We start from the raw sequence: 18,621 nt of genomic DNA on the forward strand, positions 1-18,621 counted from the left end.
TCTGAGACAGAGTCTTGCTCTGTTGCCCAGAGGCATTATCTTGGCTCACTGCAACCCTACCTCCCAGGTTCAAGTGATTCTCCTGCCTTGGCCTTCTGAGTAGCTGGGGTTACAGGCATGTGCCACCACATCCGGCTAATTTTGTATTTTTAGTAGAAGCAGGGTTTCACCATGTTGGCTGGCCTCGAACTCCTGACCTCAAGTGATCTGCCTGCCACAGCTTCCCAAAGTGGTGGGATTACAGGCATGAGCCACTGTGTCCAGCCTTTTTTCTACTTTTTTGATGTAAGCAGTTATAGCTAAGAGCTTCCCTCCTTAGTACTGCTTTTGCTGTATCTCATAGGTTTTGGTGTATTGTCTTGCCATTGTCACTTATTTTAAGAAATTTTAAAATTTCCTTCTTTACGTCTTCATTGACCTACTCGTCATTCAGGAGCATGTTGTTTAATTTCCATGTGTTTGTATAGTTTCCAAAATTCCTCTTGTTATTGATTTCTAGTTTGATTTCATTGTGGTCAGAGAAGAGATTTGGTATAATTTCATTTTTTTGAATGTTTTAAAGACTTGTTTTGTGGCCTAATATATGGTCTATTCTTGAGAATCATCCATGTGCTGAGGAGAAGAATGTGTATTCTGTAGCTATTGGATGAAATGTTCTGTAAATATCTATTAAGTCCATTTGTTCTATAATGCAGATTAAGTCTGATGTTTCCTTGTTGATTTTCTGTCTGGATGATCTGTCTAATGCTGAAAGTGGAGTGTTGAAATCTCCAGCTATTATTGTATTGGGGTCTGTTTCTGTCTTTAGCTCTAATATATATTTCTTAATATATCTGGGTGCACCAATGTTGAGTGTGTGTATATATATATATACACATATGTATATATTTTAATTGTTATGTATTCTTGCTGAATTGACCCTTTTCTCATTATATAATGACCTTCTTTGTCTCTTTTGTAGTGTTTGTCTTGAAATCTATTTTGTCTGACATAAGTATAGCTACTCCTGCTCACTTGTAGTTTGTATTTGCATGGAATATCTTTTTCCATCCTTTTATTTTCAGTCTATGTGTGTCCTTATAGGTGAAGTATATGTCTTATAGACAATAGAACGTGGAGTCTTGTTTTTTTATCCATTAAGCCACTCAATGCCATTTTAATTTTTTTAATTTTATTTTTTGTGGATACATAGTCAGTATATATATTTGTTGGGTATATGAGATGTTTCATTCTCTGTCTTGATTGGAGAGTTCAGTCCATTTAAATTCAATGTTATTATTGATAAATAAGGGCTTATTTCTGTTATTTTAAAATTTGTTTTCTGGTTGTTTTATGGTCTTTTCTTCCTTTCTGTCTTCTTTTTAATCACTGTGATTTTCTCTGGTGGTAGGCTTTGATTTCTTGCTTTTTATTTTTTGTGTATTTGTTATATGTTTTTCAATTTGAGGTTACCACTAGGCTTGTAAATAATATAATCCACTATTTTAAACTGATGCCAACTTAACACTGATTGCATAAATACACAAAAGAAAGCTAATATAAACTCTGCACTTTAATTTTGTCCACCCTTTTTAACTTTTGTTGTTTCTACTTTTTATTGTACTGTCTGTATCTTGAAAAGTTATTGTAATTATTACTTTTAATCAGTTCATCTTTTTGTCTTTCTGTGTAAGATATGAGTAGTTTATACACCAAAATTAGTCTTATAATAGTCTGTGTTTTTCTGTGTACTTACTATTGTCAATAAGTTTTGTACCTTCAGATGATTTTTTGCTGCTCATTAATGTCCTTTTCTTTCAGATTGAATAACTTTGTTTAGTGTTTCTTATAGGACAGGTCTGGTGTTGATGAAATCACTCAACTTTTGTTTGTCTGGGAATGTCTTTATTTCTCCTTCATATATGAATGATATTTTTGCTGGATATACTATTCTGGGGTAAAAGTTTTTTTTTTCTTTCAGAGTTTTAAATATGTCATGCCACTCTCTTCTAGCCTATAAGATTTCCATGGAAAAATCTGCTGCCAGGCATATTGGAACTTCATTGTAGTTTTTTTTCTCCTGCTACTTTTAGGATCCTTTCTTTTTTCTTGACCTTTGGGAGTCTGATTATTAAAAACCTTGAGGTAGCCTTGTTTGAGCTAAAGTCTCTTGGTGTTCTGTAATCTTCTTGTAGTTAAGTATTGATATCTTTCTCTAGGATTGGGAAGTTCTGTTATTATCCCTTTGAATAAACTTTCTACCTGCCCTCATCTCTACCTCCTATCTAATGCCAAAAACTCTTTAATTTAATTTGCCCCTTTGAGGTTGTTTTCTAGATCTTCTAGGTGTGATTCATTCTTTTTTATCCTTTTTTAAAAATTTGTCTCCTCTGATTATGTTTACAAACAGCCATCTTCAAGCTCACTACTTATTTCTTCTGCTTGATTAATTCTGCTGTTGAGAGACTCTGATGTATTCTTCAGTGTGTTAATTGCATTTTCAACTCCAGAATTTCTGCTTGATTTTTAAAATTATTTCAGTGTCTTTGTTAAATGTATCTGATAGAATTTTGAATTCTTTCTCTATGTTATCCTTAATTTCTTTGAGTTTACTCAAAACAGCCCTTTTGAAATCTGTCTGAAAAGTCACATATCTCTCTCTGGGATAAGTCCCTCGTGCCTTATTTTATTATTTGGTGATATGGCTTGGCTCTGTGTCTCCACCCAAATCTCATGTTGAATTGTAATTCCTAATTTTGGAGGTGGTACATGGTGGGAGGTTATTGGATTGTGTGGCTGGTTTCTAATGGTTAGCATCATCCACCTAGTGCTGTCTTGTGATAGAGGTCTCATGAGATCTCGTTGTTTGAAAGTGTGTAGCACCTCCCTCTTTGCTCTCTCTCTCTCATGCCAGCCAAGTGAAAATGTGCTTGTTTCCCCTTTGCCTTCCGCCATGATTGTAAATTTCCTCAGGCCTCCCCCGAAGCAGAAGCCTGTGCAGCCTGCAGAACCATGAACTGATTAAACTTCTTCTCTCGGCCGGGCACGGTGGCTCATGCCTGTAATCCCAGCACTTTGGGAGGCCAAGGTGGGCGGATCACAAGGTCAGGAGATTGAGACCATCCTGGCTAACACAGTGAAACCCCATCTCTACTAAAAATACAAAAAATTAGCCGGGCGTGGTGGCGGGCACCTGTAGTCCCAGCTACTCAGGAGGCTGAGGCAGGAGAATGGCGTGAACCTGGGAGGCGGAGCTTGCAGTGAACCAAGATCGCGCCACTGCACTCCAGCCTGGGCGACAGAGCAAGACTCCGTCTCAAAAACAAACAAACAAACAAACAAAAAACCAACTTCTTTTCTGTATAAATTACCTAGTCTCAGTTCTTTATAGTAATGTGAGAATGGACTAATACAGAAAATTGGTACCAGGAGTGGGGTATTGCTATAAGGATACCTGAAAATGTGGAAGCAGCTTTAAAACTGGGTAGTGGGCAGAGGATGGAGCAGTTTGAAGGTTCAGAAGAAGAGAGGAAGATGAGAGAAAGTTTGGAAATTCCTAGAGACTTGTTAAATTGTTGTGACCAAAATGCTGATAGTGATATGGACAATGAAGTTCAGGTTTAAGTGGTCTCAGATGGAGTTGAGGAACTTATTGGGGACTGGAGTAAAGGTCACTCTTGCTTTGCTTTAGCAGAGACTGGTGGCACTATGCCCCTGCTCTAGGGATCAGTTGAACTTTGAACTTGAAAGAGATGATTTAGGGTATCTGGTGGACAAAATTTCTAAGTAGCAAAGCATTCAAGATGTGGCTTCTTCTTACCATGTATGCTCAGATGTGTGAACAAAGAGATTATCTGAACCTGGAACTTATATTTAAAAGGGAAGCAGAGCATGCCTGGAAGGTGTTTCAGAGACCTTCATGGCAGCCCCTCCCATCACAGGCCTGGAGGCCTGGAAGGGAAGAATGATTTTATGGGCCAGGCCCAGGGTCCCACTGCCCTGCACAACCTCAGGACACTGCTCCCTCTGTCCCAGCCACTCCAGCTCCAGCTGTGGCTAAAAGGGCCCCAGATACATCTCAGGCTGCTGCTCCAGAGGGTGCAAGCTGGAGCTGCCAAGCCTTCCAGATGGTGTTAGGCCTGTGGGTGCACAGAGAGCAAGAGTTGAGGCTTGGGTGCCTCTGCCTAGATTTCAGAGGATGTATAGAAATACCTGGATGTCCAGGCAGAAGTCTACTGCAGGGACAGAGCCCTCAGGGAGAACCTCTACTAGGGCAGTACAGAGGGGAAATGTGATGTTAGAGCCCCACACATTGGGGCACTCCTGGTGGAGCTCTGAGAAGAAGGCCACCATTCTCCAATCCCCAGAATGATAGATCCACTGACAACTTGCACCATGCACCTGGAAAAGCTGCAGGTACTCAACACCAGCCTGTGAAAGCGGCCATTGGGTCTGTATTCTGCAAAACTGGGGTGGAGCTGCTCAGGGACTTGGGAGCCCACTTTTTGCATCAGTGTGGCCTGGATATGAAACATGGAGTCAAAAGACATTAAATGATTGCCCTGCTGGGTTTTGGACTTGCGTGGGGCTTGTAGCCCCTTGGTTTTGGCCAATTTCTCCTTTTTGGAAAGGGAGCATTTACCCAATGCCTATACCTCCATTGTGTTTTGGAAGTGACTATCTTGTTTTTGATTTTACAGGCTCATAGGTGGAAAGGACCTGCCTTGTCTCAGATGTGACTTTGGACTTGGACTTTTGAGTTAATGCTGGAATGAGTTAAGACTTTGGGAGACTGTTAGGAAGTCATTACTGTGTTTTGAAATGTGAAAAGGACATGAGATTCGGTGGGGGAGGCAGGGGCAGAACGATATGGCTTGGCTCTGTATTTTCACCCAAATCTTATGTTGAATTATAATTCCCAGTGTTGGAGGTGCGGTCTGGTGGGAGGTGATTGGATTGTAATGGTTTAACACCATCCCTTTAGGGCTGTCTCATGATACAGTTCTCACAAAATCTGGTTGTTTGTAAGTGTGTAACACCACCCCCTTTGCTCCCTGTCTCTCTCTTGCTAGCCATATGAAGATGTGCTTATTTCTCTTTTGCTTTTCATCATGGTTGTGAATTTTCTGAGGCCTTCCCAGAAGTAGAAGCCTGTACACCCTGCAGAACTGTGAGCCGATCCAACCTCTTTTCTACATAAATTACCCATTCTCAGGTAGTTCTTTATAGCAGTGTGAGAATGGACTAATACATTTGGTTAAGTCATGTTTTTCTGGTCTTGCTGGTCTTGATGCTTATGGATGTTCATTGGTTTCTGGGTGTGGAAGAGTTAGGTATTTACTGTAGTCTTCATAGTCTGGGCTTCTTTGTACCTGTCTTTGGGAAGGCTTTCCAGGTGTATGAAGCTTGGGTGTTGTGATATACATTTTTGGTTGCTGCAGCTGTATCTGCATTAGGGGACACCCCAAGCCCAGTAATGCTATGGCTCTTGCAGACTTGTAGAGGTGTAAGCTTGGTGGTCTTGGATAAGATCCTGAAGAATTCTGTTTATCCAGGCAGAGACTCTTGTTCTTTTCCCTTACTTTCTGGCAATCAAACAGAGTCTCTCATTCTGTGCTGGGCTGCCTGGGGCTGAGTGTCGGGGTGACACAATCACCCATGTGGCCACCATCACTGGGACCACAGTGGTGGTTCAGACCCAGAGCTAACATAGCACTGCATCTTGCCCAAGGCCAGTGGTGACCACTGCCTTGCTACCATCTATGTTTGCTCAAGGCCCTAAGGGTCTACCATCAGCTGGTGGCAAAGCCAGCCAGGCCTTTGTTCTTCCCTACAGGGCAATGGGATTCCCCAGGCTTTGGGTGGGTCCAGAGATACCATCTGGAGATCAGGACCTGGAGTCAGAAACCTTAGAAATCTACCTGGTGCTCCATTCTTCTGTAGCTGAGCTGGCGTCCAAGCCACAAGACAAAATCCTTTCTACTCTTGCCTTTCCACAGGCAGAGGATTCTCTCCCTGTGTCCACCACCCCACAGGCCCACGTGGAGTACTGCCAGGCTACCACTAATGTTTACTTAAGGCCCAGGGGCTCTTCAGTCAGTTTGTAGTGAATGCTTCTAGGCCTGGAGCTCACTGTTAAGGGCAGTGAGCTCCCCTCTGGCCCAGAGCAGATCCAGAAATGCCTTCCAGGAGCCAAAGCCTGGGACCTAGTACTTCAAGAACCTGCTTGGTGCTCCACCCCAGTGTGGCCAAACTGGTACCTAAGGTGCAAGACAAAGCCCCCTTTACTCTTCCCTCTGCTTTTCTCAAGCAGATGGAGTCCCTCCTTGTGGCCACCATAGCTGGGAATGTGCTAGTGAAGTCAGCACATCTCAGAGTCTCACCCCAGGCCCACGGCATGTACTGCTTGGCTACTGCTGCCGATTATTCAGGGCCCAAAGGCTCTATATTTAGCAGGTGATGAATCCTGCCAGAAGTTGGTCCTTCCCTTTAAGGTAGTGGCTTCCTTTTTGGGATAGCGTGTGTCTAGAAATGCCTGGGAGCTGGGCCCTGGAATGAGGGCCTCACGACTCTTCCCAGTGCCATATTCTGCTGTGGCTGAGCTGGTATCCAAGTTGCAAAACGATGTCTTCATTACTCTTCCCTGTCCTCTCTTGAAGCAGAAGGAAGAAGTCTTTTTTGGAGCTGCAAGCTGTGCTGCCAGGGACTGGGGGAGGTGTGGTACAGGCACTCCCTTAGATACCTCAGCTCGTGTCTCAGTAACTTGAGTGCCCCCAAGTCCCCTAAGCCCAGCACAGCACTAGGACTTGCTTAGGAGTTGCAGTCCTTATGGCTTAGACTGTCTTTCAGGTTTATTTAGGGCACCGAAGCACTTTAGCCTCAGGTAGTGAGGCTTGCCAAACTCAAGTTCTGACCACTAGGATGGTCGATTCCCCTTTGGCTAGGGCTCATTTAAATGCTCCTTCTGTGGGCATCAGCTGAGTTCTGTCTGGTGTTGCAGCACTGAATTCCAACGCAAAGTCCCACAATTGCTGTGCTCTCCCTTGCCTAAGTGCACAGTTTCTCTCTCTGTGCCATGAGGCTGCTGCTGGGGTGTGGGGAAGGGTTGCTGTTGGCAATTGAAGACTGTCTTTCCTACTGTCTTCAGTGCCTGTTTCAGTGATTAGAAGTTTAAACTATTTACTGATCTCTCACCTGATTCTTGGTTCTTATGTAAGTGTTTTTCTGTGTAGATAGCTGGTAAATTTGGTGTTCCTGCAGAGAGGATGACCTGTGGAAGCTTCTATTTGGCCATCTTGCCCTGCCTCATTCTCTTGCTCCTTTATTTCTTGATTCTACTTGAGTTTGTGTTTGCCTCGTTCTCCTAATATGGTTTTTCTTCATGCCAAGAAACAGATTATGGTCACCGAAAGGTCAAGACTTGTTATACTCTAGGCAGCAAACACTGTAGGAAGGAAAACTTTCTTTTCACTTATTAATATATACAAATCCAAGAGAAAGGAGTTTGTTGCCTTGGCTTGGGCCCTAGATCCAGTTGTGTCAATTGCTATACCAGCAGCTTATCCCACATTTAGCAGTCCATTTATGGAACAGTGGAGCCTTCCCCCAAGGGAAGGGGTGGGGATAGTATTATCAGAGTAAGCAGATAAGGTTGCTGGGCTGGTGTAGACAGCAGATTTCCAGCACAATGTATTATGTATACAGTTGGACCTCCACATCTGTGGGTTCCATATTCATAGATTCAACCAACCGTGGATCAAAAGTATTTTTTTAAAAATTGGATGGTTGCATCTGTTCTGAACATGTATTGATTTTGTTCTTGTTATTATTCTCTAAACAATACAGTATTACAACAATTTACGTAGCATTCATGTTGTATTAGATATTATAAGTAATCTAGAGATGACCAGAGTAATGCATAGGCTGTATGCAAATACCACACCATTTTATATAACAGACTTGAGTATCCATGGATTTTGGTATCTGCTCAGGGTCCTGGAACCAATTCCCCAAGGATACCAAGGGATGATTTTAGTCGTGTCAGAAAATACTGCTACCAAATTAGTAACTAGAGTGCTGTCTTCTGAGTTTCATAAGCTATGGATTAAACTTCTTTTTCTAGCAGTAAAAGCACAGGCAAAGTCAGGAAAAATATGGATCTGTTTAATTTCCACATGTTCTTGGTCTTTGTGTAGAAGAAAGTCAAGTAGATAATACTTACATGTAATCATCACATAATCTTTATTGTTGCAGAAAGCTTTTAAGTCACCGACTAGCTGGCAAAATTAAATATAAATGCAAATGAAAAATAAGTATCACAGTACTTTTTATGCTACTCACACATTTGGAAATAATCTCTGCATGGGTATTTAAAACACAATAGGCTTTCACTGCTTATTTTTCTATATAATCCTTCATTTTTCTTTTGGAAATTACCAAAACCTTCACTAAAGAAAGAAAATAACCCAGAGTTGTAATTGATGCAAGGTTTATTGCCCCTCCCAAAGTTCAGAAATCCTCTAGTGTGAATGTTTTTATTTGCTTAATTCTTTTGATGGAAAAATATAATATCTTTCTTCTGTTGCAGCATTCTAATGAGGGCTGGGGATGGACATGAAAGGGAGTAAAGATGTAAAATATTTTTCACAATTGTATTTTTAATATAGCAACCCATTTTATCACCACATTTATTACCATTTGTAATGTTTGGCAATCATTAATAATACGTTAACAGTATAACAGCACAGATATAAGGAAGTTTCCTTACTTTAGCACTTCACTGGAATACAGTACTGTATCTGTTTCCCCTTTGATATAAAACCTCTGGATACATTGAGCCCATACTTAGTTTATTTTTATTTTAATTAACTGTTCTCCCTTATCCTTCCTTGCTGCCCAGTCTGTGAGAAAGTTGTGAATTAGAATAAAATGAAAACTCTTCTGATTCATTCACCAATTTTTGAGTGTTATTTTGTACAGTGACTGCAATTTATAACAAAAACAGAAATAAAAAGAAAAAGAGAGCCTCCTCCTATGTAATCTTACCATTTGAAGAAAACAGTTGGCTTTTCCTTCTTTTCTTTCTTTTCCTTTCCCAATGAGAATATATATATATTTTATGTCATGTCATTGTGATCATACTTAGGTAGAATTTGTAGTCTTCCCTCTCCATTTAACATCTGTCATAAACATTTCCATGTATTCCACATTCATTTATGGCTACATATTTGCTGATGTTCCATAATATGCAAAAGAATTGAAAATTTCATTGGACATTTATGTTATTTTCAGTCTTGAACTCTATAAATGATGCTATTATGAACATATTTGCGCAGTAGAGCCTCTCTTCTGGGATTCTTTCTTTGAGAAAAATTCTAAGTAATGGAATTAGTAGATCAAAGGGTAGATACATTTTTTATAGCCCAGTTTTCTAGTGGATTTGAGATGTTTTTGACATCTGGAAATATTTAACGATGATGTTTTGATAGTTTATTTTAAATTAAAGCTCTTAAAAATTCAATTTTTTCTTAATGTAATTTTAATTCTTATTCTTCATTGGACCTATCTTATGCGTTCTACAAAATTATCTCCATTTTTTCTGTTTCACATGATAGAGAAAAAAATGAAAATCTAAAGCCTAGATTTACATATGCAAGAAATAAAAGGGAAAGATGAGAGGACATATATTGATTTTTTCACCCTGTTGTCTAATTTTCATTAAGTCTGCCTGCTGTCCAATTTCCCATAGGTTGGCCTGCTACCTAATTTCCATTAGGTCTGCCTTGATGTGTTTTATTTTTTTATTTTTATTTTTATTTTTTTTTGCCTATGGATAAGAGCTTATTTCATAACTGTATCTGTATGTTAACCTTTAAACCCTGCTGTGGTCAATGAAGAATGATGTTTGATAACATCCTCACCATCTTTCCCTTCACAAGAAGATTTTGTACAATTATACCGGCTTTCTATACCTTATACACACACTCACTTTCTCTCCTGGGAGTTTTTCATAAAACTAGATCACTTTCATTTTCTGTGATAATATAGCCATATGTACTATCTCTTTAAGACTTTCAGTGGGAAACTTTGTGCCAATATTCAGAGAGTCTTAAATGCCTGTTGTACAGCTTGATAAACCAAAGATAATGGGTTTAATTCTGAACTTGTATCTCATAAGCAGTTTTTTGTACCCCATGGACATAGTGATATATCTCAGCCAGCATAGAAATATTCAGGAGTTATGAGCTACTTGATTGTAAGTGTTGGGAAACCAGACAACATCTTGTAATTTTTTGTGTGTCTCTAGGACCTAGCTCAGTTCCTGACAAGTGTGACTTTTAGCATTCTCCATGTCCTGTGGATAGATAAGTATACTCCATCTATTCTATGGGAGAGAATGTAGACTATGAAGTGATAAGTTTCAGGAATAATTGGCTTATTTTGACTTAGGATAGAAAGGTATTAAAAATTAGCAATGAGCTAAATTTATTACATATAGTGTAAATTTTAGAATGTTTTGGCTTATGGTTGTCAGACATATTCACTGCCTTATGAACTACAAAATCCCTGGATTTAAACTTAGACTGGAGCATCCAAATATAAGCACGCTCTAAAAAAAAAGTCACATAAACAGAATGATACATCTCTGCTATTCTTTTTTTTTTTTTTTTCTTTTGAGACGGAGTTTCGCTCTGTCGCCCAGGCTGGAGTGCAGTGGTGCGATCTCGACTCACTGCAAGCTCCGCCTCCCGGGTTCACGCCATTCTCCTGCCTCAGCCTCCCGTGTAGCTGGGACTACAGGCGCGCACCACCATGCCCGGCTAATTTTTGTATTTTTAGTAGAGACGGGGTTTCACCGTGTTAGCCAGGATGGTCTCGATCTCCTGACCTCGTGATCCGCCCGTCTCGGCCTCCCAAAGTGCTGGGATTACAGGCATCTCTGCTATTCTACATAGTAACTGAATAATAGATATTTCTTCTTCTTCTTCTTTTTTTTTTTTTTAGACAGAGTCTCGCTCTGTTGCCCAGGCGGGAGCACAGTGGTGCCATCACTGCTTAATGTAGCCTCGACCTTCTGGGCTCAAGCAATCCTCCCACCTCAGCCTCTCGAGTAGCTGGGACTATAGGCATGTGAGGCCATGCCTGGCTAATTTTTTAGTTTTTTGTAGAGGTTGGTTTTCACTATGTTGCCCAGGCTGGTCTCAGACTTCTGGGCTCAAGCGATCCTCCTGTCTTAGCCTCATAATACATTTCTTAACCCAACTGAAGAGCTCCAGATTTTTCCAAGACTATGGATCTGCAAAGGATGGTAGTCATAATCATCAAGTTTATGAGAAGGAGTTTTACATTAGAAAACAATTTCATGGGCCGGGCATGGTGGCTCACACCTGTAATCCCAGCACTTTGGAGGCCAAGGGAGGCGGATCACGAGGTCAGGAGATCGAGACCATCCTGGCTAACACGGTGAAACCCCATCTCTACTAAAAATACAAAAAATTAGCCAGACATGGTGGCACACGCCTGTAGTCCCAGCTACTTGGGAGGCTGAGGCAGGAGAATCACTTGAACCGGGAGGCGGCGGTTGCAGTGAGCCGAGATTGCACCACTGCACTCCAGCCTGGGCAACAGGGCAACAGAGCGAGATTCTGTCTCAAAAAAAAAAAAAAAATATATATATATATATATATACATTTCATGTACGGTGGCTATAATCTGAACCTGATTTTGTTTCTATATCTTTCCAAATATTAAGGATTCCAAGGACAGGGACAGATAATATAATTATGGTTGAAATGTTTTTCATTCATGTTTGCATGTGTGTGTGTGTGTGTCTGTGTGTCTGTGTGTCTGTGTTTAGTATGACCAGTGGTGATTACTGTTTGGCATTTATTACGTATCTAAAAAGAGAAAGAATGAGCCACTTTTCTTTTTCTCACTATCTTGTTTCTATCTGTGTTATTCTACTGAATATACTCTCGCCACTTTACCAGTAACATACTAGTCTTCAAACTTAATGACCGTTTTTGTCCTTGGATTCTCTGTAGGTACTTGAAAAGGCTGATTCTCTCATCCTCAAAACTCTTAATAGTAATTCTTCCTTCCTTTTCTCCAGCTTCTTTTTAGCACATCTTCCCTCTCTAAATGTAGACATATCCAAGCCTGAGTCAGTGTCCTTTTCACTCTCCCACTCATCACAGTTCAACCCTATTTCTGTAGATATTTGCTAAGCCTGACCTCTTTCATGACTGTTCTCCCCACACCACCAGTTCCTATTGCATCTTTCTCAAAGGGTCAGGATTTCAGTTATCACTTCAAGATCAACACTTCCATTTTTTTTTTAATTTTATTTTTTGAGATGGAGTCTTGCTCTGTCACCCAGGCTGAAGTACAGTGGTACAATCTTGGCTCACTACAACCTCCATCTCTTAGGTTCAAGCTATTCTCCTGCCTCAGCCTCCTGAGTAGCTGGGATTACAGGAACCCGCCACCATACCCAGCTACTTTTTGCATTTTTAGTAGAGACGAGGTTTCACCATGTTGGCCAGGCTGGTCTCGAACTCCTGACCTTAGGTGATCCACCCGCCTCAGCCTCTCAAAGTGCTGGGATTACAGGCGTGAGCCACTGAGCCTAGCCAACACATCCATTGTTAAACTCATCAGCTTACTCCCCATCACCATCAGGTCTTCTAGATTTTCACACATCTGTAAGTGGTTCTGTCTATACTTCCCCTGTCATCCAAGTTTATTAAATATCTGTTGCAGATGATGTGGTAAAGAGAAAATTAAAATTTTATTTAGTTTTTTTTTTGTTTTGTTTTTCTATTGCTGTGTAACAAATTAACACAAACTTAGTGGCTTAAAATAACACAAATTTATTATCTCACACTTTATGTGGTTCAGGATTTTGTTTTCAGATGAGCTGGGTCTCTGCTTAGGGTGAAGTAAAGGTGTTGGCCTGTTTGCTTGTTCAGATGAGCTGGGTCTCTGCTCAGGGTGAAATAAAGGTGTTGGCTTACATCTGAGGTTTGGGGGTTTTCTCAGAGTCATTCAAGGTTGTTGGCAGAATTCAGCATTCCTTGTGGCTCGATGACTAAGGTCCCTGTTTTCTTGCTAAGAGTTGGATCAAAACCTCTCTTAGCCCCAAAAGGTCACTCTCAGATCTTGTCCAATGGCCCCTTCCATAGGCAGTTTATAATATGGCAACTGCTTTTTCCAGGCTAGCAGGAGAGCTTTTGCTATGGCTTCTGACCTGATTAAGGGCTCACAATATTAAATTAGGCCACTCAAAGTTGTCTCCCTTTTCATTAACACAAAGTCAGCTGATAAAGGACCTTAATTACATCTGTGAAAACCCCTTTGCCATGTAACATTATATGGATGGTAACCCATCGTATTTACAGTCCCACCAATATTCAAGGGGAAGGAATTGTGCAGGGGGTATACACCTTGGGGTGGGAATCTTGGGGGCTATCTTAGAATTCTACTTACCACAGGACAGATGGAATCAAGAATGGTAGTGAGTGCCATCATTAATTATTTGCGGAAGTTAAAATAGTTATACTAACATAGATGGTGCCAATGGAATGCTAGCTTGGAGTTTTACATTAGTATGTGCATGTTTGTGGAAAACTATACTAATTACACATCCATATATATTTTATATATATAAAAATACCTAAAAATGTTTTAATATACTCATCTATATCTATACATTCATTTTATCTTAAATCTGTCTTTGTTACCTCTTTGTAAACATTTCCCACAACTCAACTATATTTGAATGTGAAATTTAAGATTAATTTTGCAAATATCATGTTTTTAATGAGAGATACACGCCAGTACTTTTGCCCTTATCCTTTGTTATAAAATTCTGGACAATTTAACATGCTTTTTTCCCTAGCCCAGGTAAAGTGTAATGTAAAGTGACTGCCTTCCTCTGTCTTCCCAGATAAGGATAATTGCTTCTGGTGAATAATCAAATTATGGCTTTCATCCTCTGACCTTTGAAGGAATAGCATTCCCTTTATTTTAAGTTGCCTTTGTGTGTATGTGTGTGAGCCAAGCCACATTTTGAAATGCAATTTTTCTTAGAAACAGATCTGTTGAGAAACAAAATAAAAATGTAGATTTCTTATTTGAATAGAGAGAAAAGTGTTTTTCTCTGGTTTCTTAAAATGTATTTATAAATAGCACCTGTTTCTATGTAAATATAGAGATTTGTTGTTAATTGTTCTCTGCTGGTATTGCTAAAATTGATGATAGAGCTTTTCTTTGAGTCATATCTATACTGTATTGTTTGCTGTACTGTCTAAATCATTTCTCCAATCTAAGAAGAAAGTTTATCTTCAGGGGAGGGCTTTCTCACTGTTTTCCATTGATTTTGAATACATCAGAATCTATTGCCAGTTTTTGATTGTTTATTTAGTAGGCCATAAGAAAGATTCAAGTTTACTTCCATTTTGCAGAGGGTTTGAAAATTTATAAATTTTCCAAATATGGTGTGTTAGCTAGAGCATCTTGTAGGGAGGAAAAATGTGAGAAGTGAACTTTGGTTTCATTTTCAAATTGGTGGATTATGTTGATCTGGTATATAGCTGGTATGAAACTAAATACTGACACTTAAAGACTTAACTGTTTTGTTTGCCTGTTTAATTTGGAGCTGCTTATAGCTATTGAGATCATTACATGCAACAATCTTTTGTATATTTATTCATAGATTACTCTGCTATACAGCCTTTAGCTTTATACTTGATTTGAAGTTTGAAATGAAATTGGAAATTAATATTTTTACCTTTACTCACATGCACATTCAGTCTTCATTTCTCTCCATTGACTTAGCATTTCTCTTCATTTAGGAAAAAAAATAGATTTGTGGCTCAGTTAGTAATTATGTTCATCCTCCAATTCAAGTCTTTCCTGAACTTGTTCAGGTCAGGCTGACATTTTGCACTTGATTAAGGGAGACTCGATGATAGCTAGGAATCCACAATATAATATCTTGTTCTTGAGTGTGACTTAATGTGCTTCTAACCTAATCTCAAGGTGTCCTGATTGTCTTGTTCATTCATTGATATTTCTTCCTATTTCCTTGGCATACCAGATCAAAATTTGAATATATTAATAGCCTTCTAAGGAAAGAAATACACCATAGCTGTAAAAGAAGAAAAAGTTGCTTCTGGTAGCAAGAAGGTGGATGACACAAACTTCCTTGCGCAATGGTGACCTTTCAATTAGCTTACCTATTTTCTCTGTTCTTTGAGGGTTTGATGCTAGCTGCCCATTTCAAATCTGCAGCTTCAAACAATATTGCTGTTTCTTCTTTGAAACATAGATCTCAGGGAAGTGACTGTTGGAAAAGTAATAATAATGATTCTGTTTATTATTTTATTAACTGTATATATTAGTACAGATAAATGAACACATGGATAAAGAATATTCTATACTTTGGGAGGCCGAGATGGGCAGATCATGAGGTCAGGAGATCGAGACCATCCTGGCTAACACGATGAAACCCCGTCTCTACTAAAAATACAAAAAATTAGCCCGGCGTGGTGGCGGGCACCTGTAGTCCCAGCTACTCGGGAGGCTGAGGCAGGAGAATGGTGTAAACCTGGGTGGCAGAGCTTGCAGTGAGCCTAGATCGCGCCACTGCACTCCAGCCTGGGTGACTGAGCGAGGCTCAGTATCAAAAAAAAAAAAAAAAAGAATATTCTACTTTTCAGGGTAAGATTTATGCCATTCCATATTATAGAAAATGTATGCTAGCCAGTCTCAGTGGCATGCGCATGTAGTCCCAGCTAGTTGGGAAGCTGGGGGATCACTTAAGCCCAGGAGTTAGAGGTTCTAGTATGTTACGATTGTGGAGTGCCCTCCAACATGGGCAAGCCTGGATAGTGAGACTCCATCTCTTAAAAAAAAAGAGAAGAAAATGTATACTTAAAAATTTATATTTATTTCCAATTTGAATCAGTGAAAAAGCTGAGTAAAGGTATAGACAAAATAAAGAGCATTTACATTATTTATTTCAGATACATCCATGCAAATCCACACAAGTCCATATGTGGATGTAAATTGTGGAGAGTTTTTAATCAGTGTGCATGCCATTTAAAAATACAAGAGATCCTAGGGAAAATAATTTCCATTTTTAGCATCAAAGATACTTCATCTGTTTTTATAAATGTGTGTTATATAAATCAAATCAACTATTCTTCTCATTGCTACAGTATGGCATACATTAAATCCAAAGAGAAGTACTTGTTCTTGAAATTAAAATAGGGAAGCCAAACAATATGTCAGTTATTAAAAAGTAGATTTTTAAAATGATTTTCAAAATTGTAGTCAAATAATAGCCCTTGACTGCTCTCAAATATTACATTGCAGTTCCACTCTTAGCTAAGCTATTGATAATTCAATTATTTGAAGAAAGTGGTTTAAAATTAACTTAAAAGTTACTCTTCCCTTTTGGATAATAGATTCTGCATCATATCATCTATGATTATGATGATGATGTCTTTAGAGTGCTCAGGAACTGCTATGTTATCTGCTCTGTTATGTGGTTCCATAATGATAACATGCAGATGGATGTATACGTGGAATTTTCAACTAAAAGCTCCTCGATTTGGAGAAATTTATTAAATTCATATAATGGAGACTTTTTGTTTGTTTTTGAGATGGAGTCTCACTCTGTCTCCCAGGCTGGAGTGCAGTGGCGCGGTCTCGGCTCACTGCAACCTCCCCTTCCCGGGTTCAATCAATTCTCCTGCCTCAGCCTCCTGAGTAGCCGGGACTACAGGTGTGTGCCACCATGCCTGGCTAATTTTTTGTATATTTAGTAGAGACAGGGTTTCATTGTGTTAGCCAGGATGGTCTCGATCTCCTGACCTCATGATCCACCCGCCTCGGTCTCCCAAAGTGCTGGGATTACAGGTGCCTGGCCTTTTTTTTTGAGAGGAAGTCTTGGTCTTGTCAGTTAGGCTGGAGTGCAGTGGCGCGATCTCGGCTCACTGCAACCTCTGCCTCCTGGGTTCAAGTGATTCTCCTGCCTCAGCCTCCCAAGTACCTGGGATTGAGGCACCTGCCACCACACCTGGCTAATTTTTGTATTTTTAGTAGAGACGGGGTTTCACCATGTTGGCCAGGCTGGTTTGGAACTCTTGACCTCAGGCGATCCGCCCACCTCGGCCTCCCAAAGTGCTGGGATTACAGGTTTGAGCCACTGCACCCGGCCTTTTTTTCTTGAGACAAACTCTCGCTCTTGTTGCCCAGGCTGGAGTACAATGGCGTGATCTCAGCTCACTGCAACCTCCGCCTCCCGGGTTCAGGCGACTCTCCTGCCTCAGCCTCCGGAGTACCTGGGATTACAGGCACCTGCCACCACACCGGGCTAATTTTTGTATTTTTAGTAGAGACAGGGTTTCACCATGTTGGCCAGGCTGGTCTCAAACTCCTGACTTCAGGCAATCTGTCCACCTCAGTCTCCCAAAATGCTGGGATTATAGGCTTGAGCCACCGCACCAGGCCTAATAGAGACATTTCAACCATGAATCTCCTTTGTTAATTCTTTCTATGTCTTGCAGTTAGGTTATTTTTTTTTTCTTGTTGCTTTCCCACCCAGCTTTATTAAGATATGATTGAAAAAAATTGTGTATATTTATGGTATGCATGATGTTTTGATGTATGTACATACTGTGAAATGATTACATCAAGTGAATTACTTTATCTGTCACCTCACGTACTTTTCATGTTTTTATGGTGAGAACATTTCACCATTTCCAAGTATATAATACATTACTAACTGTAGTTACCACAGTGTGCAATAGATCTCCAGAACTTATTGCCCCAGTATAATTGGACTTTTGTACCTTTTAACCAGTGTCTCTCTGTACACCCTCCTCACTTCCTCCAGAGTCTGGCACCATCATTATACTTTCTCTTTCGTGAGTTCAACTTTTTTAGATTCCACATGTAAATGAGATCATGTAGTATTTGTCTTTCTGTGCCTGGCTTATTTCATTTATAATGTCCTCCAGGTTCATTCGTGTTGTTGCAAATGACAGGATTTCCTTCATTTTAAGGCTGAGTCGTATTCTATTGTGTGTGTGTGTGTGTGTGTGTGTGTGTGTGTGTGTGTGTGTGTATGTCACCCTGTTTTCTTTATCCATTCATTCATCCATAGATACTTAGTTTGACCCCATATCTTAGGTATTGCGAATAGTGCTGTAATAAACATGGGAGTGCAGATATCTCTTTGACATACTGATTTCATTTTCTTTGGATGCATACCCAGAAGGGGGAGTGCTGGATCATATCATAGTTCTATTTTTAATTCTTGGAGAAACCTCCAGATTGTTTTTCCTAATGGCTGTACTAATTTATATTCCCATCAACAGTGTGTGAGAGTTCCTTTTTCTCTACATCCTCACCAGCCCTTGCTATCTTTTTGTTATTTTTTGATAAAAGCCATTCTTACTTGTGTGAGGTGATATCTCATTGTGGTTTCACTTTGCATTTCCCTGATTATTAATGATGTTGAGTATTTTTTCATTTACCTGTTGTCCATTTGTATATCTTCTTTGTAAAAATGTCTATTCAGATCCTTTGCCTATTTTTTCCATCATGTTATTTGTTTTCTTGTTATTGAGT

At 39.9% G+C, this 18,621-nt stretch overlaps 1 protein-coding gene across 32 annotated transcripts in view, besides 1 other annotated feature; it reads left to right on the forward strand.

Annotated features, from left to right (window-relative positions):
• Positions 1–18,621, forward strand: part of ADAM22 (ADAM metallopeptidase domain 22) — a 268,639-nt gene that overhangs the window by 93,568 nt on the left and 156,450 nt on the right. The gene's annotated exons all lie outside the window — the stretch shown is intronic.
• Positions 6,324–6,824: an enhancer, noted in NCBI's record as "H3K27ac hESC enhancer chr7:87663457-87663957 (GRCh37/hg19 assembly coordinates)". NCBI's record gives its function as "activates a minimal SCP1, AML or CMV promoter by ChIP-STARR-seq in naive H9 embryonic stem cells {active_cell/tissue: H9 hESC(naive)}" and the evidence as "EXISTENCE:reporter gene assay evidence [ECO:0000049][PMID:30033119]".

This window comes from Homo sapiens, chromosome 7, assembly GCF_000001405.40.
Source record: "Homo sapiens chromosome 7, GRCh38.p14 Primary Assembly".
Taxonomy (NCBI): Eukaryota; Metazoa; Chordata; class Mammalia; order Primates; family Hominidae; genus Homo; species Homo sapiens.